At 41.2% G+C, this 25,344-nt stretch overlaps 1 protein-coding gene across 3 annotated transcripts, besides 3 other annotated features; it reads right to left on the bottom strand.

The window, feature by feature from the left end:
* Positions 1-451: 451 nt before the first annotated feature.
* YWHAB (tyrosine 3-monooxygenase/tryptophan 5-monooxygenase activation protein beta) lies at positions 452-23,279 on the bottom strand. Of its 3 annotated transcripts, NM_003404.5 has the most exons (7): positions 23,098-23,279; positions 21,242-21,336; positions 7,151-7,453; positions 4,868-4,991; positions 3,853-4,016; positions 2,888-2,983; positions 452-2,602 (listed from the first exon to the last, which is right to left on the bottom strand). In NM_003404.5, the coding sequence occupies exons 3-7, from the start codon at positions 7,448-7,450 to the stop codon at positions 2,546-2,548; spliced, it is 741 nt and encodes a 246-aa protein (NP_003395.1). In that variant the 5' UTR covers positions 7,451-7,453; positions 21,242-21,336; positions 23,098-23,279; the 3' UTR covers positions 452-2,545. The 3 variants fall into 3 exon arrangements, with proteins under 3 accessions (NP_003395.1, NP_647539.1, XP_016883529.1); NM_139323.4 differs by lacking the exon at positions 21,242-21,336; XM_017028040.2 differs by lacking the exons at positions 452-2,602; positions 2,888-2,983; positions 3,853-4,016; positions 21,242-21,336 and having other exon boundaries at positions 4,925-6,086.
* Positions 22,933-23,549: an enhancer, noted in NCBI's record as "H3K27ac hESC enhancer chr20:43514076-43514692 (GRCh37/hg19 assembly coordinates)". NCBI's record gives its function as "activates a minimal SCP1, AML or CMV promoter by ChIP-STARR-seq in primed H9 embryonic stem cells {active_cell/tissue: H9 hESC(primed)}" and the evidence as "EXISTENCE:reporter gene assay evidence [ECO:0000049][PMID:30033119]".
* Positions 22,986-23,535: a silencer, noted in NCBI's record as "silent region_12949". NCBI's record gives its function as "represses an Ori minimal core promoter by ATAC-STARR-seq in GM12878 lymphoblastoid cells {active_cell/tissue: GM12878}" and the evidence as "EXISTENCE:reporter gene assay evidence [ECO:0000049][PMID:35858748]".
* Positions 23,596-23,655: a silencer, noted in NCBI's record as "silent region_12948". NCBI's record gives its function as "represses an Ori minimal core promoter by ATAC-STARR-seq in GM12878 lymphoblastoid cells {active_cell/tissue: GM12878}" and the evidence as "EXISTENCE:reporter gene assay evidence [ECO:0000049][PMID:35858748]".

Below are 25,344 nucleotides of genomic sequence, written 5' to 3'. Positions count from 1 at the left end.
CAGAAGGGGCAAATCCTGTGAGGAACCAGCTCTGCAGGCCACCATACAGTGTGAGGACAGGTGAGACGCCAGCTTGGTGATGACCAAGACTTATGCAACCATAGGTTACCTATTTCACTGGCTTGGTTGTATCTCAGAGTTAAAAAATGGGGAAGGGATGGTGGGCTCGAATACAATGCAAAATAACTGTCCATACCAAATCTTAGAAGTCACTAAAGAGGACCTAATACCTGCATGGTTTGTTGTGGAAGGTAGAGAGGTATCAAGTAACGGGTGTAAAGAGGCTGTTTAATTAATGGTAATTTCTTCCCCTGGATAACACCTTGACTTCTGGTCCTAAATAATGAAATAAAACTGTTTGCCTATTTTTAAAGAAAACAGAGTTAAAAATAAGTGTGATCAGAATAGTTAGCTAGGTCTGGTAACAACAGAGATGGTGGTGACACATCAATTCACAGGCAACTAACTGATAAAATTTTTATTTCACTTTTGAATTTTTACACTTTTCCTGATTATTCTGTGTAAGGTGAAACTAGAACTGTTTAAAAGACATACACAAATCTAGTACATCAATAACCGGGGATTTTTCTTTTTTGCTATACTATTTTCACAACCACGGGTGTGCTTGCTAGGCAATATAACCATCACAGAAGCAAACGTTAGGCAGAATACTGGTAAGAAAAAACAAAGCAAGAAAAGAGCTACCAGATATACAGACAGGCTTGGTTCCACATTCACTACTGCATTTTCAAGCGCCAAGTATTAACTGCACATTTTTGTTCAGCTAGAAAGGAGGGATTTTTTTTTTTGTTTTTTTCTTTTTTTTTGGTTTGTTTTAAATCAGTGCATAAATTTTTCTTTTCTCATTTCAGCAGATGGACAAACAGATGGACTCTACAGCTAAGTGGAATATCAAAGGTAGAGGGGTGATTCTGTGAGACTGATAGGCCTGACTATTCTCAATTCTCCCCACTGCAGTGTTCACGCAACTTCCCTGAATATAGGGTCTCCTTAAACACATCTGAGCACTGACCTGGATGAGTGCACTTGGGAGACCTGGTGACAGGCACAAAAAGCATGATCAGGGCTAGCCTCAATACAGGGAGAAATCATGGATATTTAAAAATACTTTTTTGATTCAGATTCCGGTATGACTGAAGAGCAACACCGTGTTGAGAACTGGAGGAAGACAGGGTTCTGGTGCCAGAAGCTCTTCTCCAATCTTTAAAGCCAGGCTTGCTCACCAAGGTGCTCAGTAATGTCTCTCACCCCTGCCCATATATAGCATTAAAAAGTGAACAAAAGACAGATAAAGATAGAATTCAAAAAGGAAAAAAAGTAAGGAAGCAGAGGGACAGAAACTTAGAAGAGAAAACCAAGGTCAACAGTCAAAAAGGATGGTGGGAAAGAATGTTTAGATTTCAAAATTTAAAAGCCCCGAGCTAGGAAGAACCTGAAAACTGAGTACTCCTCAAGTGAAAGGCCATCTCTACAGAACATCATTCCTTTTTTTGTTTTTTGTTTTCTTTTTTGGAGATGAGGTCTCGCTATGTTGCCCAGGCTGGAGTGCAGTTATTCACAGGTGCAACCACAGGGCACTGCAGCTTTAAACTCCTGGGCTCAAGCGATCCTCCTGCCTCAGCCTCCCAAATAGTTGGGACTAGATGCACGCACCACCACGCCTGACTCAGGACATTATTCTTAAAGGTATTATCCAGGAAACAGATAAGGTCATTCATAAAACACACGGCTTTTTTTCTTTAGCTCAGTGTTAACAATGAAAGTAGATTCCACTATTGAAGCACAAGTTGCAAATTGGTAACATAGTGAACATATTGCTGTAGGAAAGGGGGTTCAGTGTGGTGTGTTATATGAGCACTTGAACTTTTCAAGGTGTCATAAGCCAGTTATCTGCCACAAAGAATTTCCATTTCAGGATTCGAGTTTCCTCAGAGGAAGACACTGTGGACATTTGTGGTCATGAACTTTTAAGTGGCAACAGCCCAAACAGGTCAAGTGTCTTTAAGTCCCGAACAACGGCAGCATTACTGTGAATTACCATTCAACTCAAATGCCAAATGATGTGTGTCTCACTCCAAGTTCCAGCATCACAATATAATCTCTATAACTTTCTGTACAACTTTACAATGGAATTGTATTTCAATGATTATTTTGATATCAGATTAAACCTTCCAAAAAGTTACACATAATTCAGGTCTATTTTTTCTACCAGTAAGAGTTCTGCTAAATTACAAAACCCCATAATCACAGTGTTCAGTTTTTAAAAAATTAAACACACAGTAATCCTGTCAATGTTAATCAAAATCAAAACTTCGGAATGCCGTGGCATTTATGTGACCAATCTGAGTTTTAGATACAAATACCAGCTGTTTATCCCATGAACCATTTTTCCTAGGCTGAGGCTGTGAAAAATCGAAAGTCGACGTACGATTCTCTTTTTTTTTTTTTTTTTTTTTTTATCGCACAAGGGATATATGTTGAGGGTACAGAGTGACACTGAACAGATCACAAAGCACGAGAAACATTAGTTCTCTCCCTCCCCAGCGTCTCCTTCGTCTCCCTGGTTTTCCGATGTCCACAGCTGCAAGAGAAAGGAAGTATAATCAAAGCAGGGCTACTAAAAGTTCCCTAGGTAAGTGGCCCAGTATGTATAATCTTATCTCACTCGACAGTTTAAAATTATTCCTGTGTCACTGCAGACAGGGATGATTGCAAAGGTCAAAACTTCAGCAGTCATTTATAACAAATTTAACAACTTAAAACTGTAACTACATTTAATGGTACAAATCCCCTCTTGAAGATAACAGTGAATTATTAAGTAGGTGAATAGGAAAGAGACTATAAACCCTGTGGAAGTAGTACTTACAGTGAGATTGTCCCTAAGTAACTGCATGATCAGAGTGCTGTCTTTATAAGACTCTTCATTCAGCGTATCCAATTCAGCAATTGCTTCATCAAATGCCTAAAACAAAGAGCCTTTAGCAAAGAATTCACAAGTTCTCTGGAGCTAGTTTAGCCCACTTTTTTTCCCGCTAGGTGAATATAACTTATCTTCTTGTACAGTACTTTGGGGGAACCTAGGCTATTATTACCCTGTCTGTTAGCTGTTTCCAGCAGAAGTATAAGGCATATTTACAAAGCACCAACCAACAATGACAGAAACTCCAAGGTAAGAACTTTGCTGTACCTAATAACTAAGCAGTATTACTGCTAACCCTAGCACAGTCATTCTGGGCAAACGCGTGTGATTTTTTAATTACCAAAGACTTTTCTAGCAATCTTCTATTTAAAATTATTTATTTATTTAAACTAAAACTCAAAATGTCTGGAAACTCACATCACTAAATCTGATTTAAGTGACGGAACTTTAAGGCACCTTTCCCGAATAAAAATGTTTTTAAAAAGTTGTGTGCATGTTGAGGGACTATAAAAAATATGTAGAGAAGGCCAAAGGAAGAATATGGAAGGTAATCCAACACACAACAAGAATGTGCTGTGTATTTCTTTTATACAACTATAACCTCAAATCTTGGCATGAGAATGACAATGTATAACCAAGGCCCAAAGCTTGGTAAGAAACAACTAACTACATTCACCTGGAACTTTCTACAACCACCCGCAAAAAACAGTAATCAAACAAAGTCAGCAGAAGGTATTGAGAATGAATTAAAAAAGTAACAGATCTGTATTTATCTCATAAAAGATACACTCCCACCCCCAGAAAATCTTTCAAAAAAAGTCCAAGACAATGAGTATGTTCAGGAATAAAATGAAGTTAATAACACAAGCACTGTTTTGCTATGGTTAGATATCACAAAGGGTCTTTCTCACCGTTTTTGCCAGGCTACAGGCCTTTTCAGGAGAGTTTAGAATCTCATAGTAAAAGACTGAGAAATTTAGTGCCAGACCAAGACGAATTGGGTGTGTAGGCTGCATTTCTTTCTTACTAATTTCAAATGCTTCCTGGTAAGCCTGCTGGGAGTTCGACACAGTGGCTGTAACATAAAGATGAAAATATTAAAGGCTCGGTTCTTTCATAGGTATCACACATTGGACCAACTATCAAATTATTTTCTCAGTCCCAAACTGGGCAGGAGCAATGACCTATCAAATGAAGTGTCAGTGTCTCTGCCATTCAATTATACATTTGTTAGATATTTATTCTAAACCAAGTTGTATATTAAATGCTTTGGGGGAAAACAATTATGACAAAGTCTACTAAAGCAGTTAAATACAGCTATAACCTTTAACAATATAGAATGTGAAAAACCATACATTCTAGTGCAAACATCACAGGCTTTAGAGTCGATAGATCCAAACTTTAATTCCCAACTCTTACTCCCTAGGTCTGTGGCTTGGGGCAAGTAGAAACCTCCATAAACCTCAGTTTATATGAAAAATGGGCAGCCTGCCACCTAACTCGTAAGGCTGTGTGAAGAGTAAGTGAGACTCGGAAGTACTTGGCACAGAAGCACTTAATAAAGTGTGGTTAAGATTACCACCATCACGGTAATACATGTGATAAATGCAATGCATCACTAGGGTAGTTTCGTACCACCAAGTATAAAAAGTTCACTGCTAAAAAGAGAGCTAACAAATAATACTCAAGATAAGATCTTTTTAAATACACTGCGCACCAGGTTTGTAATGCCCTCCATACTTCCCTGTCAGATAAATTTTTATTTGCCCGCCCATGACCCCGTTCGTCACAATGCTGTGGTCTTTTAAATTCTTAGTACTGTGACATTGGTGTCTATGGCGAACAAAGCAAAAATCGTTAAAAAGTCCCTGTGAAAGAAGACTGGCTCCATTACTGGTCGAATTTCTTTTTAAAGATATTACTTACTTTGTTTGTTGTCTCCAGATGCCACTTCAGAAAGATACCTAAAATAATCTCCTTTCATTTTCAAGTAGAACACCTTACTTTCTGGTTGTGTAGCATTGGGAATAAGATATTTGTCCAACAGCTCCTAAAAAATGAACATTGTTAAGAATTTAGAATTATTCACGAGATGTTAAAACTATGTTTGAGATTCAAGATATACACTACTGCTTCTAAATAATTTTTTGGAAGATTAAAAAAACACCAATTTTTCATCCAAGCTACTAAATGTTGTTTAGCCCAGGTCATAACAGCAGATGCCTGTATTCTTCTGTTAAAAATCACTTTGACCATCCATAGGGGATAATTAAAGTATAGCCATATAATGAAATGTTTTGTAGGCCTTTAAAATGATGCAGAGCTAAACAGATAATGGAAAGGCTCTCAAAAGAAATCTGAGTGGAAAAAAAGCAGATTATAAATACCACAAGAATCCTATTTTAACATTAAGATACATTTGTGTACATGCTCACAAATATATAAGGGAAAAGCCTGGAAGGAGTATGTTAATAATGGTTCTCTGGGTGGTAAGATTAGAAGTGATTTTTACTTTCTTATTTATATTCTTCTGACTTGTTCCCCCCACCATTTTTAAACCCACAAACTGGTATTACTTCTATAATTAAAGGGGAAAAAATATCTTTCCTTAGGAGGAAAAAGGTGATAATAGAGCAAAACTGCCAAGAACTAAGTTTAAAGTCAATCTGACCTGGGTAGAAATCCCTCTTCTGCCACTTATTATCTGTATGACTCTGGACAAATTACCTAATCACTTTGAGCCTCACTTTCCTCAGCTATACGAAGGGTCATCTTCTAGGGTATAGCCATCTTCTAGGGTAGTTATAATGATAAATAAGTTGACATACATAAAGCGCTTAACACGTTGCCTGGCACGTAGTAAGCACTCAAAGAGTAGCTAATACTATTAATAATAAATTCCTTTAAACATTTATGCTTACAACAAAAGTAGTTCTGAAGGAGTCCAAGCTTCGTATACAGAGCAATATTTTCGAAGAGTTGTTTTAGAATGTGGCATCCTGAAAAACTGGTTAAGAGGCAGTAAGTACCAAGCTCTTCTTCACATTCTTTCAGATGCTCTTAAAAGTTGGTCTACATTTCATGAATTATGGAACTTTCTTGCCCTTGGAATGCATGACATACTTCATCTGAATACCAGATGTACCTAACATTCAGGAATTAGTGCACCATTAACAAACCCCCAAATTACCAACAGGCAACAAATTTAGTCATGACACTCTTACGCCATGAGTCTAATAAAAAGAGAAGCTCAATGCAAAGCTTAGTTATAAGGGGATTTAATCAACCAAAGTGAGAAGATGCAGGGGGCGGCAGTCGTTTTAATATTCTTTGTAGACAGACAGTGTGTAACTCCTAATAGGTTAGGGATAAGGGGTGCTGCCTGATGGCTGACAAGCTTTATACTGGTTTTCAAAAGAAAGGAGTCATGGGCAGTAATTTAGAAAGGCAGCCAGCAGGGAAGGTGGTAGGTCCCCAAGTGTGAATTCCTTTTCCCTTCAAAGCAGCCCTCGCTGAGTTCATTTTTACCTGATTTCACCTGGAAGAAAAAGAAAGTTCCCAATGGCTCAGGATGTGCGGGAAAGACAATATGATTATGATTTGTTTTGGAGTACGTACCCCTCCCATTCAATCCCAAGTGGCGGCCAGAGGGAATCAATCATCTGACTAAGGGTTTATGTAAAATACAGGAGAGGAGAATGCCCAAAACACTTTGAATTTGGCTCTGGAATGCATGCCGAACTTGATGGATGTGCCTAACTTTCAGACCAAAGCAGGACTTTACAGTGTGAAGGCATGACTGGGGAGAGGCTGAAAGGCAGCTCAGCTTTTTCATCTCCCTCCCCTACTGGCGATGACATCACTACTCTGACTAATATACACAATAGCCTATCTGTAGCTGTATCTATTAAAATCCTGTCTATCTGGCCTCAATTTTAAAAGATGGAGGGAGGCTGAAAAAATGTCACTGTTTTTCACAGGTCTTTTTGATAGGAGAGGAAAGTATCTCAGAAGTGATGTACAACCTCTGATCAGGCAATAGGTGACACAAATTATATCATATGCTTAAAAATTAGTTGTAAATACCTGGCAGCTTTCCAGTATATTCAGACACCTCTCTCTCATAAGCTGTTTTGAGAGTCTGCATTTATACATTAAATTAATACTATTTAGAAACCACTGTTCAAAACAGAAGCACTGGCCTCTTACCAGAACATCATTGCAGATGTCCTGCAGTTCTGCCTCTATCTTCTCACGGTACTCTTTGCCCATCTGCTGCTTCTTCTCATTCCTCTCTGTTTTCTGCTCAATGCTGGAGATGACACGCCAGGAAGAGCGGCGGGCGCCTACCACATTCTTGTAGGCAACAGAGAGCAGATTTCTCTCTTCGTTGGAGAGTTCATGCCCCTGTTCTGTGACTGCCTTCATGGCTGCAGCCATATCATCATATCGCTCAGCCTGCTCAGCGAGTTTGGCTTTCTGTACCAGCTCACTTTTATCCATTGTCATTCCCTAGAACAAGAGCAAGAGAAAAAGAAAGAGCAAATGTCAGGTTTCGGGGCCTAGGAAACGTGTGTGAATCTTCTTCCAACCCATCTGGAAAGCAGCATACTAAATGTGAAACATCTCATTCCAAATGCCATCAACAATATTGATGATATATCAAACACCTCTAGGGTTAAGTACTTTGCTAAGGCCTTTATATTATTTTGGTCCAGTAATCTTCCCAACAGTCCCAGAGTAGGTATGTTCATAACAACAACTTTCCCCTTCTTATGGGTGAAGAAATGGAGGGTCAGGGAAGGCAAGTGATATGCCCAGAGCAACATGCAAATAGATGGTGGAGAGCCAGAACTCCAGCTCACATCTATCTGGCTCTAGAGCTTTTGTTTTCTTCCATTAGCCTAATTCACCTGCCTGGCACATACAGACTGCTTAATAACTATTTCTTTAGAAGTTTATGCTTACTAGCCGGGTGCAGTGGCTCACACCTGTAATCCCAGCACTCTGGGAGGCCGAGGAGGGCAATTCACGAGGTCAGGAGTTCGAGACCAGCCTGACCAACACAGTGAAACCCCATCTCTACTAAAAATACAAAAATTAGCCAGGCGTGGTGGCAGGCATTTGTAATCCCAGCTACTGGGGAGGCTGAGGCAGGAGGATCGCTTGAAACCAAAAGGCAGAGGTTGCAGTGGGCCGAGATCACGCCACTGGACTCCAGCGTGGGCAACAGAGTGAGACTCCATCTCAAAAAAAAAGTTTATGCTTACTATATATATGTCCTTGACTTCTCTCAGTAATTGTCTGGTTTGTTTTAATGACCTTAATCCAACTGTATCCTGTAATACAGGAAGTCCTCTCTTCACTGTCCTGTAAGCAACTCTGGTTTTGACTAAACCTGTTTTTTCCATAGTACAGGAAAGAGTAAGTATGATGTTTGTTTCAACCAATCCTGAAGCAAAAGATATGATTTTAAATGATCTATTTGGCTGCACCCATCAAGCAGTAGATAACTGAAGGATGGGAAAGATTATATCACATCTTCTGTAATCTGCTAACTTTGTTACTAGGACACACTGCACAGGAAGAACATAAACTAAGGGCAGTCAGACTTGGGCTCTATCTAGCACTAGCTCTGCTACTTACTTACAAGTGGCATGACCTTGGTTAAATCACTTAACCTGAGAGCTTCGGTCTCTACTGGGCAATAAGAACACTACCCAGGGCTGGATGTGGTGACTCACGCCTAGGATCCCAAGAGTTCAAGATTATCCTGGCAAATCAGTCTCTAACATAGTAAGACTTCATCTCTACAAAAGAAGAAAAAATTGGCTGGGTGTGGTGGTGTGCACCTGTAGTCCCAGCTACTCAGGAGGCTGAGGTGGGAGGATCACTTGAGCCCAGAGTTCCAGGATGCAGTGAGCCGTGACTGTGCCATTACATTCCAGCCTGGGCAACCAACTGAGACCCCTGTCTCTAAAAAAAAAAAGAAAGAACACTACCAACTCTTTTAGTGGGCCTGTTATGAGGAACAAAAGACCTGATACATGTGAAGGCACCTTAAAAAGTATAAAGCATTATATAAAAATATCAGGCACTAATTTTGTATATGGTATAGGTTGCAAGAGAAAGGGGTGTATAACAAGATGTACAGCAACATAACTTGAAACCATAACTGAATTCATCTGAACCATAACTGAGTTCATTTAAAGTTTTTCTGAAATAGACAAAAATCCTAGTGACTTCAGTTTATCAATTTATCAAATCCATATGCCAATCAGTGAATATCTCTTATCAACTCACCACAGTCAGTTCCCCACTGCAATAATCACCATTTACAGAGTGCGGTAATTTTAATAAGTAATTTTTGGATAAAATAATTGAAAAGTTATTTACTAAACAAGAAGAGTTAATTTTATGTACTGTTGGTTTAAATATTGATATATCAATCTGTGCCACACAGTATAAAAATACACTAATATCCTGAGCTATAAAAACATGAAATGCTACTTTAAACAGTAGTAGTAATGTCAGGTTTTTTTGTGTGCTTTGTCTGTTTGTTTGAGACAGAGTCTCACTCTGTCACCCAGGCTGAAGTACAGTGGTGGGATCTCGGTTCACTGCAACCTCCACCTCCAGGGTTCAAGTGATTCTCCTGCCTTAGCCTCCCAGGTAGCTGGGATTACAGGCACGTGCCACCATGCACAGCTAACTTTTGTATTTTTAGTAGAGATGGGATTTTGCCATTTTTGGCCAGGCTGGTCTTGAACTCCTAAACTCAGGTGATCTGCCCGCCTTGGCCTCCCAAAGTGCTGGGACTTACAGGCGTGACCCACTGCACCTAGCCAATGCCAGTATTTTCAAAACAAATTCTTTCATTACTACATACATGGTATCACAATTTAAGGCTCTGAAAATGATTATTTGTTTGGAGACGGAGTCTCATTCTGTCACCCAGGCTGGAGTTCAGTGACGCAACCTCGGCTCACTGCAACCTCTGCCTCCTGGGTTCAAGCGATTCTCCTCAGCCACCCGAGTAGCTGGGACTGCTGGCATGCACCACCACACTCGGCTGATTTTGTATTTTTAGTAGAGGTGGGGTTTCACTACATTGCTCAGGCTGGTCTTGAACGCCTGACCTCAGGTGATCTGCCTGCCTCGGCCTCCCAAAGTGCTGGAATTACAGGTGTGAGCCACCGCACTTGGCCTCTTTGCTATTTTTAAATTAACCATTTTCTGCTGGGCGCAGTGGCTCATGCCTGTAATCCCAGCACTTTGGGAGGCCGAGGCAGGTGAATCACGAGGTCAGGAGATCGAGACCATCCTGGCTAACACGGTGAAACCCCGTCTCTACTAAAAAAACAAAAAATTAGCTGGGCACAGTGCACGTGCCTATAGTCCCAGCTACTGGGGAGGCTGAGCAAGAGAATCGCTTGAACCCGGAAGACGGAGGTTGCAGTGAGCAGAGATCGCGCCACTGCACTCTGGCCTGGGCAACAGAGCAAGATTCCATCTCAAAAAAAAAAGGAAAAAAAAAACAAGAAAGTATGACCTCCACTCACAAAATGATTTTGCCTCAAAAGTCATTTCTGTATTTTCAAGAGAGAAATTCTACACACAGGGCCTTATCACCTAAAAATGTTTTAGGGAGCACAATAAGATACACTCAAAATCTAGGTGATTCAGAAAGAATTGATTCTCCAGTTCATAACTATAATTTTTCTTCCTACTGCTTATTATCTAAATCACATGCAGAGCTGTGTCTTATATAAGGCTCACTAATTGTAAGCTTACACTCAGTGAGGCAAGTCTCACTTTGATCCATCTGACATCTTCACTCACAACACTAGAATAAAACTAAGGCAGAGAGAGTAATCCTCAAGAAACATTCCATTTGTTCCCTTCTATTTCCCAGAACCCCCACAGCAGTCAGAAGAGGCCACATGGTAGTTCTGTCCAATGAAAGATAAGTAGAAATGACGCTACTTCCAGGCTAACACTGTGAATATCCTACGTGTGCCTCCCCAGGCTCTTTTCCCTCACAGCAGCCACTGAGAAGGCCATGTATTCTAGGTGGTACAGTCATGCAACTGTAGAGTTTTTGTCAGCCTGAGTCCCCGGGTGACTGTATAGTGCAAGACTCCTGCAGACCTGCATTGGACACGCAGGGTGAAAACAAAAGAAACTTTTGCTGGGTTAAAACATTGAGATGCTGGAGCTGTTGGTTACCACAAGACAACCTGTTCTACTCTAATACAAGTACATCAAAAATACTCTACCATCTTAAAAGTATATATAGTTGGCCCTCCATATCTGCAGGTTCCAGATACACAGATTCAACCAACCGTGGTGGAAAATAAAGAAGGAAAAAAACACAAAATAAACAAGTATCTTCAGATTTTGGTATCCCCAGGTGTCCTGGAACCTACACCCCCTGGATACCAAAGGATGACCACTGTCTTCATATATCTAACTTTCTTGACCATAAGGTCTTTGAGATCAGGACAATAAATATCTTCATCATTAAATAACCCTACTTCATGGTTTCTAAAAGTGCCAGGTACACCAGAAAGAAGCCAACTTTCAATGACCCAACAACCTTCAGAAAATTTCCAGTCTGTAGACTAACTCAAAGTTAGAAGTCACTTAGAGGCCCACTTCAAAGTTCATAGAACAGTACCTATGCAACTCTACCTGTGGATTACTCCAAATCATAAAGTACTGGCCAAAAGCCAATTCAGAGCTAAGCCATCCCATGTGGTATCATAATGGAGTAATAAAGGATTGCCGTTGCTAAATAATGCCATCAACCTCTTCAGCTCTACTAGGCCCCAAAATTAAGCTATCCCCCTTTTACTTCTCTCCTTCTCAAGGATTAAAAGTTAAATCATACTACTCCAAAGAATCTGGACTATTCAGTGGGACCTCCCAAATATGCCTTCCCTATTTCCCAAAATAAAATGCACCCTTTCTGTTTGGGGTCAGCTATTTTAAGCTTCTCCGAGATTACTGCAAGATTTCTTAGAGATTGAGAACCATCATGGCAAGATAAGGACTGAATGCACACCTTTTTAAAATCTGTATCCATTTATCTGTTTCAAATATTTTTAATTATACACATACAGAAACAACTTACAACAAACAAAATCCATAGCTAAAGGTCCTGATGGCTACTGCTTACATAACTTTTGACTTATATAACATGGATTTTGAAGCAACTAGACCAATTTCAACAGGAAATGGGTTACACAACACCCAGCAGTTTGGAGGAAGGCAGCAAAGGAGAAATGAAATTGTTCCTATTTCTACATCTACAATAAATCTCCCATCCAAAATCTTGCCCTAGTGGCAATGCTTTCAGTCACTCATTATCTACAGCCCCCTCCATGCCTTTGCTGTAAGACCCATTTTCCTATAACTCTGCTCAAGTCACTTCCCGCTCAAAATTCTTTAAAGTTCCCTGATGCCAAAAGCAGAGTCAGATTTCCTCCCCTATCAGTGAAAGCTTGCCAACCTATCTTCCAGACCCCCACATCATGCCTTCCACATCATATGTGCTTCTGCCAAAATGGTTTTCTTACATACAAAGTATGCTTTTCTATCTTTGCTCACCAAGCCACTCCCTCTACCTGGAATGGCTTTTCCCAAATTTACTCTGCATACAAGATTCTTCACAGTGTGGCTCAGATACCATCCCTTCCATGAAGCCTTTCTTAAGCTGTTTAAGCCATAGCCATAGCTACATGTGGCTATTCACTTAAAATGTGGCTAGTGCCACATATTGAAATCATATTTTGTTCATAATGGGTTAAGTAAAAACAGATAGAATCAATTTCACTTTAAAAAAATTTTTAAATGCAGCTACCAGAAAAATTTAAATTACATGTGGCTTATATTCTATTCCTATGGGACGGCATTGCTCTAATGAATATATTCTCACAAAGCATTTCGCTGATACCTGTCAATGTCTTACCACGTTTCTTCAGTACTAAAATTACTTACATAGTGTCTCCTATTTCCCTTCCTACACCATAAGCTCCTTTGGACATATCTCCCACAGCATCCTGTACATAATTGGTAGGAACAAATATCTGCTGAATGAACAAACTGATCCTGAAATGTAAGCATAAAACTGCAGAGTTGGTAGAGTTCTCCCTTTTCTCAAATAATTCAAAGCACCTATTAGCCTCACAAGCATATTAAATCTTCATTACATTTGTACCTAGTTTCTTGAATTTCTGTGCCCTCTGAAATTCAAAGAGTAATTCACTCTTCCAGTCAGGCATGGCAGATCAATCTATAATCCCAGTGCTTTTGGAGGCCAAAGCTGGAGCATCGCTTGAGACCAGGAGTTCAAGACCAGCCTGGGCAACATAGTAAGACCTTGTCTCTACAAAAAATAAAATATTAGCCAGGTGTGGTGGCTCATGCCTGTGGTCCCAGCTACTTGGGAGGCTGAGATGGGAGAATCGCTTGAGGCTAGGAGGCCAGGGATGCACTGAGCCATGACTGCATCACTGCACTCCAGCCTGGGTGACAGACACCCTGTCTCAAAACAAACAAAAAATTACTCTTCCTAAATTACCTCTAGTCTTGCCTTTGTCCTTACTCAGTAACTTCCAATGACTCCCTTTTGGCTACTCCATCAAATTTAAGCTCTACCTGGCTTTCAAATTCCTGATAAATTGTCTCCTCTTTACTTGTTTGGCTTTCTCATCCACTGTTCTCCAACATGTACCTTTCTCTCAGGCTGGCCAGCACCACATGCCCTATAAACACAATGCTCAAACGTGTCTGAAACTGCTTTTGTAGTTCCCTTCATCTAGAGTGCTCTCCTATTTACTGCCTGCCTATCTGAACTCCACCCATTCTTCTAGGGCTACAAACCCTTCCCTGACTGCCCTAGCCCTCACTGATTTACCTTGCCTATGACTCTGAATATACTTATAGCCTATTACATGGTCTAGGACTTCTTTATGCCATTCTGTGATACAGATGAGTACTGTACCACTTACAGCTTCACGTGTGTGCCCTCAAAGGAAAGCTTCATGTTTGTTTCACATTTAATGCTTATAACTGTGCTAAGCACAAAACTCATATGCAAATGAATATCAAGTTTTTCTACAAATCATTATTGGGAGAGCACAAGGAACACAGAGTACCTATATGTAGTATAGTCGGAAGGCAGCAGGACTGTGTGTCACAGCGCAATGTGCCACTATACAGCCATGTGAGCATGTTAAATCTCAGCCTTCCAATCCATAAAATGAAGATGGCATCTACCTCAGTAGAGTTGCTGTGAAGATGAGGCGCAGGGAATTAAAGAATACTAAATGTGGAAATCTTCCTTGAAAAATGCATAGTGCAAAATCAAACTGAAGTACTATTATTCTTCTCCACGACTATTACACTGTAGCAGCCCATAAAACCATAAGCTTGAATTTTCTTTTTAAATATACAATTTTGTGAGAAGGAAAAGCAAAAGTCTAGATTAATCTTGTACAGATAGTTAGTATGTTATGTTAAAATGGACATATATGTTAAATGTAACTGAAGTTTATCCATTAGTTTCTAATTGAATTTTCTAGTGATATGCCATGATGGTTTTTAATCAAGACCTACTGTTGTTCCAAGACTTTGAATGAGGTTCCCACTAAAAAAAAAGTCAGCAAGATACTCTTTATTTGTCTCCTAAAAAGTTTTTGAAAGACTATAGTCTCATCGTCAGGCCTGGCACCACTGCAGAAGCATCAAGATACTGGCGCAGGCAAACTCATTAGAGGCCACAAAAGGCCCAACCCTGCAGTAAGCCAAGAGATTTTCCTTGTGCTGGGCATATTTCAGGAAGAGACTGACGTGCTTGAGAACAGGAGCTCTCCAGCACACCTATATGATGATGATGGCTGTCAATCTGTTCTAAGCCACTGGATGCAGCAAGTCAGGACTGGGAAGCATTTGTTGATAAACGCAGAGATTGCTTAGTGAAAAAATGGAAGCAAATCTAAATATCCAACAATATGGGAATGGTTTAAAAAATAAGGAGACTGGCCAGGTGCACTGGCTTACGTGTGTAATCCCAGCACTTTGGGAGGCCAAGGCAGGCAGATCACCTGAAGTCAGGAGTTCGAGACCAGCGTGGCCAATGTGGTGAAACCCCGTTTCTACTAAAAATACAAAAAAATTAGCCGGGGTGGTGTATGACTGTAATCCCAGCTACTCGGGAGGCTGAGGCAGGATAATCACTTGAACCCAGGAGGTGGAGGTTGCAGTGAGCCGAAACTGCGCCACTACACTCCAGCCTGGGCGACAAGAGCGAAACTCCGTCTCAAAAAAAAAAAAAAAAAAAAAGGCAGGGGAGGGAAGGAGATAGATGGTACAAGATTACGTGGCCATCAAAAGAAGAGATTTAATGTCATGAAAAGATTTATTTAAGAGCAATGGGGGCTGGAGGGACGAGGCTGCACAATATTTTATTTCTGTAAAATATCCCCTAAAGAACAAACAAACCCGAACAGAAAGGTTACACCAAATGGTTAACACTGGTTCTGTCTCTGGGTAATAACATTATTATATCCTCATTTTCCTATCTTTTTAAATTTTCTTCAAGTATGTATTACTTTTTTAAAAATTGGGTACTATTTCTTTTTTTAAGAAAAAAAGTGTTTTTCTGTTTAAAGAGAAACCACTAGTGCAGATAAACAGCTATGAAAAATAATTCTAAAGGTACTCACAAAATAGGATTTTCTTCAAAGAAACAAAATCCTAAATCAGATAATAAATGCTGAAAATAGAGGATCTAGGAAACAGCCTAGCCCCTCTATCCCAATTCCTTCCCCAAGGGACATCTTTCTAGTCAGGGTCAAAATACTGAGAAGTTATTTCCCAGTGGCTAGAGCAGATATCCTAGGAGAAGAATCAAAAAAGAAAGAAAGAAAAGAAAAAGAAGACTACCTACTGCTAATCCATTTTTTTTTAAATAAAGGCAGTGCAAAGACAGAAAGGGTTGAAAATGACAGCTGTGGCCTTTAGAAGCACTGGCTTTCAGCTATGTTTTGTTTTCAAGGCAAAGAACATGCTCGATTCGAAAATAATAAGCTTTGAATTTAATAATTTGTTAGAAATTTCAGATGAAGACTCCATTATTATATGTCAGGAATTACCCAAGCTCTATACATATAAAATATACGGTGGGGTCTGCTTTTAGCAAGCCTTACATACACATCTGAGCTTCTAAAGAGAAAGTAGGTGATTTTTCTACATTTCCACATTATAACTTACCTGAATCTGTTTTCTCAGTGTTAAAAAGAGACATTAATAGCTATCAAATAAGATAATGAACATAAAATGCCCATATAGTGCTGGTTAGAGTAAAGGCTCATAAGCCATTCTTATTTTTTATTCTTAAGCTACCTCACAAAAATGTAACACATATAATCCAATGTGTGTTGAAATAACTAACAAAATGAAAAACTACCAAATTTCTAAGAACTCTTTGGATTATTCATTGAGAGGAATTTAAAAGAAAGCAGTGTAGTCCTCCCCTCAGAGAGCTTAAACTCTAGTGGTAGAAACACAAGAAAAGAGCACATGTATATCTATTACACATCAATTAAAAAAAAAAACAGCACACGTTTAAGGGTTACAATGCCTCTCCTTAGAAAGCCAACCAGACAGAACTAGAGGAAATAGGTTTAAAGGTAGCTAGGTCGTGACTTAAAAAGAGATGTTATTAATAAAGTGCATGTATGTTTTTCTAGATGAGATAAAAATCAAAGGCCAAAGCAGATAAAGAAATGAGAATAAGGAAGAAAACTGACAAGAAAATCTGAAAAATCTAGGCTCGAATGTTTCAATGGGGTAAGGAACTGATCACATATTCTGAACAGCATTCACAGATGTACCATTCCAGATAGAGCATCCACAGCACTGTACAGCAGAAGTTTTAGTTCTGGAGTCTCTCTGCTGAAGAAAAATCAGATGCCAAGCTACTGCAGAAGGGACTGAGAAAGTCAGTGGGACCAGGTGGTTAGTGGGTGTTACCCAGAAAAAGTTAAACACTCCTGGCTCTCAGAGAAAACTACTCACTAAAAAACACCCACTATAAAACTGTCTGTGTGCCATTCTACATATAAAATTTAGAGTCCTGTAATAAATTTAATTCCATTCAAACATTTGCAGGTTCTTTGTTAGGAAACAAAACACAGCATATCTGTAATACAAAGTCATTAGCACTAAGTCCAGTGAACACTGAATTTGGAGAGAAACTGCATTTCTATTATTTCAAAATCCCTTCCCTCTTTCACATCAGCTGTTGCATATCATTGCTAATTATGTCCAATTAGCCATGATTAAACTTACTGAGGGTGTTAAGTGACAGGCGCAAGGTTACACATGTGACTTAATGGTAGATATGACAATAAATTGACTTCTTGGCTTAAGTAATCAATCCAAAAGACACTATGTTAATTCTGATCCATAAAGACAGCCCAATTGGTTGACCTTATGAATAATTTCTACAGTTTGGGGCCCACTGACATAATGAAGCCTATCAGTCTGATTTACCAGTACCGCACACCAAGTCCACAGGCTATGTGACCTCTGTGAATTTGTTTTCTCATCCATAATACAGGCAAATCTGGGCTGGGCGTGGTGGCTCACGCCTGTAATCCCAGCACTCTGGGAGGCCGAGGAGGGTGATCACTTGAGGTCAGGAGTTCAAGACCAGCCTGGCCAACATGGTGAAACCCCGTCTCTACTAAATATATAAAAAAATTAGCCGGGTATAGTGGCAGGCGCCTGTAATCCCAGCTAATTGGGAGGCTGAGGCAGCCTGAAGGCAGAGGCTGCAGTGAGCTGAGATCACGCCACTGCACTCCAGCCTAGGCGACAGAGCAAGACTCTGTGAAGAAAAAAAAAAACATAGGCAAATCTACTTACTAGGGTTCCTGTAAGGAGTAAACCTGTTTATGATATAAAACAGTAAGCACTCAAATAAATGGCAACCACAGTACATTCCACACAAAACTTAAAAAACCAATGGTCAGCCAGTGAAGGGAAACTTACTATGTACCTCATTTATTTTACACGTACTCTGCTTTCTTTAAAGACTTTTAAAAGAAAGGCACATAACAATTTCCCTATGCTTATTTCTAAAATGGCCCTTATCACAGTTTACTGCAATGCAAGTGTCTCTGCTGGCTCCCACACCGGATTGTGAGCTTAAAGTAGGAATCCAGCCAGGCGTGGTGGCTCACGCCTGTAATCCCAGCACTTTGGGAGGCCGAGGCAGGTGGATCGCAAGGTCAGGAGTTCAAGACCAGCCTGGCCAAGATGGCGAAACCCTGTCTCTACTAAAAATACAAAAATTAGCTGGGCGCAGTGGCAGGCGCCTGTAATCCCAGCTACTCAGGAGGCTGAGGCAGGAGAATTGCTTGAACCCGGGCTTCAGAGGTTGCAGTGAGCCAAGATCGTGCCACTGCACTCCAGCCTGGGTGACAGAGTGAGACTCCATCTCACAAAAAAAAAAAAAAAAAAAAAAAAAAGTAGGAATCCAGACTTGTATCTTTGGACACCCAATGTGGAGTACAAGGCCTAGCACACTGAGTGACTGCTTGATCAACTGATGCATTCTTAAAAAGTGAAAAAGCAATTATTTCCTACGTGGACAGAGGAAGGTAGCACACATCTGACCTATAAAATACAGACTGTTTTTATTGTCTTAGACTACTTTTTGAAAAAAGCCAGCCAGCTCTCATCAGGAGCAACACTATACATTTTGACTAATATTTTTCAGCTACCAATCATTGTATTTATAGATTCAAACTGACTTTCAACAAGCCTTTGGATTACTTTCTGTCCATCTCCTCCATTCAGAAGTCCAATCAGTTCGCTATACAAAAAGTTCACTATACAGAAACCCAAACCAGCTAACTCGTTTAGTAAATAACAAAAATATCCATCCATCATTTATGGCCTGCAAAGCACTCAGGGATTCCTAGAAACGCATTTGATCCTAAGTATCCTATGAGGCAGGTGACATTGTCCCGTTTTATAAATGCAAAGAGTTAACTCATTCAGGGTCACACAGCTATATATGGCAGATCTGGGATCTAAACCAACATTAATTTTAAAATTAATGCTCTTTCCTTTATGTAACCCTATCTCCTAAAGATCAATTATGAACTCCAATGCTCACTTAAGGAAAAGAGAGAATTGTCAACTTTTAAAAGAACTATACAAGGTTGTTACAGTGAAATTTTAAAACTGGCCTATTAAGCTAATGTTATCTAGCTTTAAAAATAAAAACAAAATCAAGGAGTTAAAAACAGCATAAAAACATGCCAAAGACTTACCAAAATGTCAAACAAATTTTAAAGGAAAGCTCTTAGCTGAGGGCAAATAATAATAATAGACAGGACTCATATCTACTTTATTGTAGCCTTCAATCTTCTTGTCCTGGTCAAGGCCATTCAGAAATAACCTCCTGTTGGTTCTTTTAGGGAAAACAATAAAATAAACTAACCAGTACGGGAAAAACTTACATAATAAAGAACTGGCCAGAATTTAAAAAAAAAAAAAAAGTTAACTAACCTACAATCTGCTAGGAATGACTTGAGGCCACTGATCATTTACATCTCATTACAAGTATCAGATACATATAACCACACCTCTATTAGAAAATCTTTTAGTTGAGAAAGCAGTAAGATGATTGGCCTTCAGCACACATATCATGAGACAGAAAGCACTTTTAGTCTGTTTCCTCAAGTATTCCCCTTAGAAAAATTCCCTCAGAATCCAGCTCCAACCGTTAGTTTCTCCATCATGCAATACAGATGACTGCTAAGATCATATTCACATAGAGATCAAAAGGATTCTAAAGCTTAAAGGTTGCTATTATGTAACCATAATTTCTTGCCCCTTAACTAGTGAATTGTCATCTTTCCCTAGAAAAATGTAGAAACAAGGAACTTAAAAGTATCTCTACAAGGAAATTTTAGTTCATTCTCTAAGGTACCAGCATTTAAAGGAAAACTCAGTTTGTTGACACCGAAAGAGCAGGTAGCACAACAGGATGTTTTAATTTAGAAGTTTCTCTCTATTTACGTAGATATATTTCCTCATTTCCTCCCTGCCAACAAAATGAGAAAAATCTGAACATCTACTGATGAAGTCGTAAGATAAACAAAAATTAATGGTCACAATCAAATTCTATTAGATGAAGAACCTAAAATTCTATGCCAAAGTAACTGATGACTTTCTCCCTAGTATGAAGCAAGTACTAGAAAAACTGGATTGTTCACAAGCTTGCTTCCTGATGCATGCTAGCAATTATCATCCCTACAGGCCAGAATGGGTATATGCTCCACAATAAATTGTCCTGTATCTATCTTCAAAAATAGCTAATATTCCCATTCAAACGTTTACTTTATTAGGATTGGTGTAAAGAAAAATTAAGGACTAAATGGTGTTCACATAAAACATATACATGTGCTGTCTCTACCACATGCAGAAATCTATAATATCATTCCTCAGAACCAGATCACCTGGTTTCATTCCTGGTTCTGGCACTTACCTTGCGCTGTGTGTGAGACCTCGGGAAAATTATCCTTCTCAGTGCCTTAGTTTCCCCATCTGTAAAATGGGGCTAACAGTCTTACCTTTCATTGGTTGTTATGAAGACTGAGCTAATATGCTTAAAGTGCTTAAAAGAAAGCTTAGCACACAGTAAGTACTGTAAGTGGTAACTATTATTATAGACTAATTGTCTGATACCACCTCATCAGTTGGTGAATAAATCACAAATGGATGGATTCTATATAAATGTCCATGAATAGCATATATGCTATGTCTAATCTATACACGTGTATATTCATGCAGATGGTCAATAACATCTATTGAACCCCAACTATATCCCAGATGCTTATTTTCATTATTGAGCTTGTCGCAACAAAAATATATCAAAAGCTGCATTACCATTTGTGCTATATAGACGAGAAAATGATTCAGAAAGACTGGATTTGCCTATATGCAAAATAAAGTCCTATAATAATATACCATTTTTTGAAAGCAACATGTGTACAAAGCAGGGTTTAGTGTCATCAGATGTTAACTGGAGAGAAAAAGCCATTAATAGTGAACTCTGATTAAAAAACAAACCAAAAGCTTATATTTAACAATTTACAGTTTATAAAAAAGGCTTAATGATAACCCTGGAAATAAGAAAACCAAGAACCAGAGATTAACATGCTGAAGATTCAGAAAGCTAGAAAATATTGCAGGCAAGATTTCAACCAAATTTACCTGACTCCAAGTCCAGTGCTCTTCCTGCTTCTCTATCCACAGCCGAATGGGCAAAATGCACTTTTTGTAGCGGCCCAAATCTCTGGAGACTCTGCCTAGAGAACCAGCATCATGGGAATTTGCTCAGCCTGGTTTTATAGAGGCTGCCTCCCTGATCTATAGCGCTCCAATTCTAAAATGGCTTCAATATAACAAGCACTGCAAGATGTGAAATGTACAAAAGATTACAGGGTAGGCGTCATACTCCAGGGGCTGGCAATCCATAAATATTTGCTACTGATGAATGAGGATATTCAGTTTGAAAAAAACTAGGTGTATAGTCTAGGCCAAATCACCTCATTTCTCATAAAGACTTCATCTGCAAGATAGGTGAATGGTTTCTTATCTCATTGGAAGGACAGGCCAGGAAAATAATTCTGCAGTTGCTACAGGATTATTAGCCTTCCATTTTGAAAGCCACACTTAAATTTCTAACTTAGGTCCAATAAGATTGACAGGTTTTACACTCACACACCGTGTGTTGCCAAGGACAGGGATCCAAGAAAAATGAGGGCTCAAACAAATGAGATATCCCTAAGTAAGAAATAGGGTACACTGGAAGCAGTCAAGAAGAAATTCACCAAGAACAAATACTTATACACATTTCCAAATGAAAATGCAAAAGCTGCAGTGTCCAGGTCTACAAACTGCATCTGTGTCTGGCTTCACATGAACTGACAGAATGAGAAATGCAGACAATTTTCATATTCTTATAAGTGCTTCACCTTTCTCTTTTGGTTCCCGAGGCTGATTTTATGTTCATAGCATCATCTTGCCAAATTCCATCTCCCACACAGGGCAAGCAAAATCAGGACCTGATGCTATCTAGCCTTACCAAAGAGAAATGCAATGAAGGCAACGACAAGAAACATGTATTTTACAGAAAGGTTGGCAAATTGCTTACCAAGGCTGCCACCTCTGAAAACCCCATTATATGGGAGTTCTCCATTTGCGGCAAAGATGCACTCACCTTCCCACCTCTTCTTCCCTCCGCTCCCCACCCCCCGACCAGGAAGCCACCGGGCAAATTTCAGACCGAAAAACGTGCTAACACACAATATGGGGGAATTTGGGGTAAAGACACAAAAGAATCTGGCATTAAATGACGGTAAATACTGTGAGAAAATACTCCGATTCTCACCCCCTGATATTTTTTCCTGGGGATCCGGCCTGACTCAGTAACCGGCTCCAACAAACAGATTTTCTTGATTCAAACCCAATTCCCTTCCTAGGGAATCTTGGGTCCTGCCAGGCTCCATAACCAGTGAAGGATGATGAAATGGTTTTACTGCAAAATGGGAGGGGGTTCCCCCACTGCTGTCTCCCAAGGTTAAACCCCTTACTCATCCAGGAGGAGCCAAACACGGGGACTGGGGCTAGAAAACTCATCCGCGTTTGATTAAATTTTAATTTCTGGAAACCAGAAAGCACGGAGCAGAGGTGACAGGGCTGAAGGGGACGTTCTTGCCGACCAAGACGCAGGGAGGGGTCGCGTGGGGCCCGAAGCAGATAGTGAGGGAGGGTCCGGGATCCCCGGCTCCGCTGTCCCTTACGGCACAGTACGGAGTTGCACCCCGCCCGGCCGGCAGGACCTCAGGCGGCCCGAGCCTCTCCAAGAGGTAAAGGGCCCGGCCCCGGAAACAGGGAGGGGCCGCTGCGAGGTCTGGCCTCGCCGCCGGCGGCCGCGCGGAGCGAAAGAGGCAGCGCGCCGCTACCCCACGGGGCCCACCCACTGGGCCGCCGTCGTCGCAGCAGCCAGAGAGGGGCTTCGAGTTTGGGCCCCCGGGGGCCCCGGTCGGACCCCGCGCCGCACTCACCGTGGGAGGGCTGCAGGGAACAAAGACCCTTCCGAGCGAAGCTCCGAGCGAGATGACCTCTTCCTTCCTAAGCCCACTACTCAGGCGGCGGCAGCGGTGCCTGCAGTGGCTGCAGCGGCGGCGGCGGCGGCGACTACCCCGGCTCCGGAATCGGCGGCGGCGGTGGCGGTAGCTCCACTTCCGCTCCGATCGCCACTTCCGCTCCGGTCCTGGCCGCGCCCCGCCCCAAACCGTGTTCTCATTGGGCAAGCGAGGCACGGGGTTGCCACGGCCCCACGGGAGGGGCGCAGACGGAAGGGAGGAGGAAGAAGAGCGAAAGGCAGGGTTGCAGGGGCCGGGGCAGGGCGGATGGCCGGGGGAGGGACCCAGGAGGAGGTGGGCGGAGAAGAAGGAAATGGGGCGGGGGAGCGGGAAAAGGAGGTGGGAGGAGAGAGGGCGGAGCTGGGGGTGGTCAAGATACGGGCTGTGTGGGAATAAGGAGGACTAGGAGTGTGGTCTGGATGGGGATTGCCCTTTCTGCTGGGACTGGAAACGCGCCAGGGCCAGTCCCGGAGATTCGAGGTTTAGCAGTTCCCCCTCCACCCCGAAAGTAATCCTCACTGGGTCGGAGGCCGATGTCAGTCCTCTTACTGTGTGCTTTGGTAATGCTGGAGCCAGGGAAGAACAGAAATTGCTCATCCCTCAATGTTCATTTAATCCTTTCAATCCTTCAGGGTACTTACCTTTTCCTTCTTTGGTAGACTGAAGAGGCCACGTGAAGTGCCAGGAATCCAATGCACAAACGTCTTTTTAAAAAACCTGTGTAGGGTCGAGCGCAGTGGTTCGCGCCTGTAATCTCAGCACTTTGGGAAGCTGAGGTGAGAGGATTGCTTGAGGCCGGGAGTTGTAGGCTGCAGTGAGCTATGGTCATGCCACTGCACTCCAACCTGGGAGACAGAGTGAGACCCTGTCTCCAAAAAAAACCCACAAAAATCTGTGTACATGATTTCTTCTTTAAGATGCCCCCTCGTTGAGGAAGTTCAGGGAAGGAAACAGGCCTCCATGGCTCCCCTCCCCTCCATGACTGCTCTCACAATTACCAACATTCTACTCCTCTGAAGGTAGTTGATTTTGTTTTGTTTTGTTTTGTTTTGTTTTCTGTTTTTGAGACAGAGTCTCTTTCTGTCGCCCAGGCAGTGTCACAATCTTGGCTCACTGCAATCTCTGCCTCCCAGGTTCAAGCAATTCTCCTGCCTCAGCCTCCTGAGTAGCTGGGATAACAGGTGCATGCCACCACTCTCGGCTAGTTTTTGTATTTTTAGTAGACACGGGGCTTCGCCATATTGGCCGGGCTGGTCTCAAACTCCTGACCTCAGGTGATCCACCCGCCTCAGCCTCCCAAAGTGCTGGGATTACAGACATGAACCACCTCGACCGGCTTCAAGGTAGTTGATTTTTAAACTCAGTCCTTCAAAATGCCTCTCGCCTTCCCTCTCTCCTGTTCATTTATTCTTTCAACAAATGTTGAACAGGCTTTTTGCTTAGTGCTGGAGACACAGCAATGAACAAGGCAGGTGGGGCCCTGCTGTCTTGGAGTTTGCAGTCGGGTAGGAGAAAAAGCCAAGTAAATAGGCCTTTGCCGTCTTGCCTTTACCCTTACTTAGCTAAATGACAGACTTCTAATTCACCATTTGGTCTCAGCCTCGCCCGTCAACTGCCAAGTGATCTTTTAAAAATACCATTCTAATCGTGTCCTGTTCTTGCTTAAATTATTTAGTGTGCACTCAGACCTAGATGACAATATATAAGTTCCTTGAGTGTGACAATCAGGGTTCTCCAAAAGCTGCCCTTATCCTTTAGCTGCTATTTCTCCCCCATCGTAAATACCCCAATTCAATTGGATGATTCCTTACCCTCCCAATATGCCATCTCCAGTATTTCTAAGCAGTTTGACTTAGTTGCCAACACTTTTTTAAACTGAAAAGTTTCTGTGTGAACAGAAATCTGCCTCTCTGCCTTGTCTGGTAACACTGTGTCCACATTTCTGTGTGGCAACAATTGGCTGAAGCCAAGGAGTGGCTGCCTGTTCTAGACTGGGCATGGACTTTCCCAAATGCCAGGGACCCTTCTCGACCTGAGTCTGCTTTTGTCACTTATGTTATCTGTCATGTAGGCATGTGTGCCAGTGACCCCTGTACTGTGCCACCTTTTAAGTTGAACAAGATTGAGAACGTGTTGTGTAACGTAAACAGCATGGTTTTGGGTCAA

The sequence above is a fragment of the Homo sapiens genome, chromosome 20, assembly GCF_000001405.40.
Source record: "Homo sapiens chromosome 20, GRCh38.p14 Primary Assembly".
NCBI lineage: Eukaryota > Metazoa > Chordata > Mammalia > Primates > Hominidae > Homo > Homo sapiens.
Note: the sequence above shows the minus strand (reverse complement) of the source record. Positions and strands in the feature narration are given on the sequence as shown.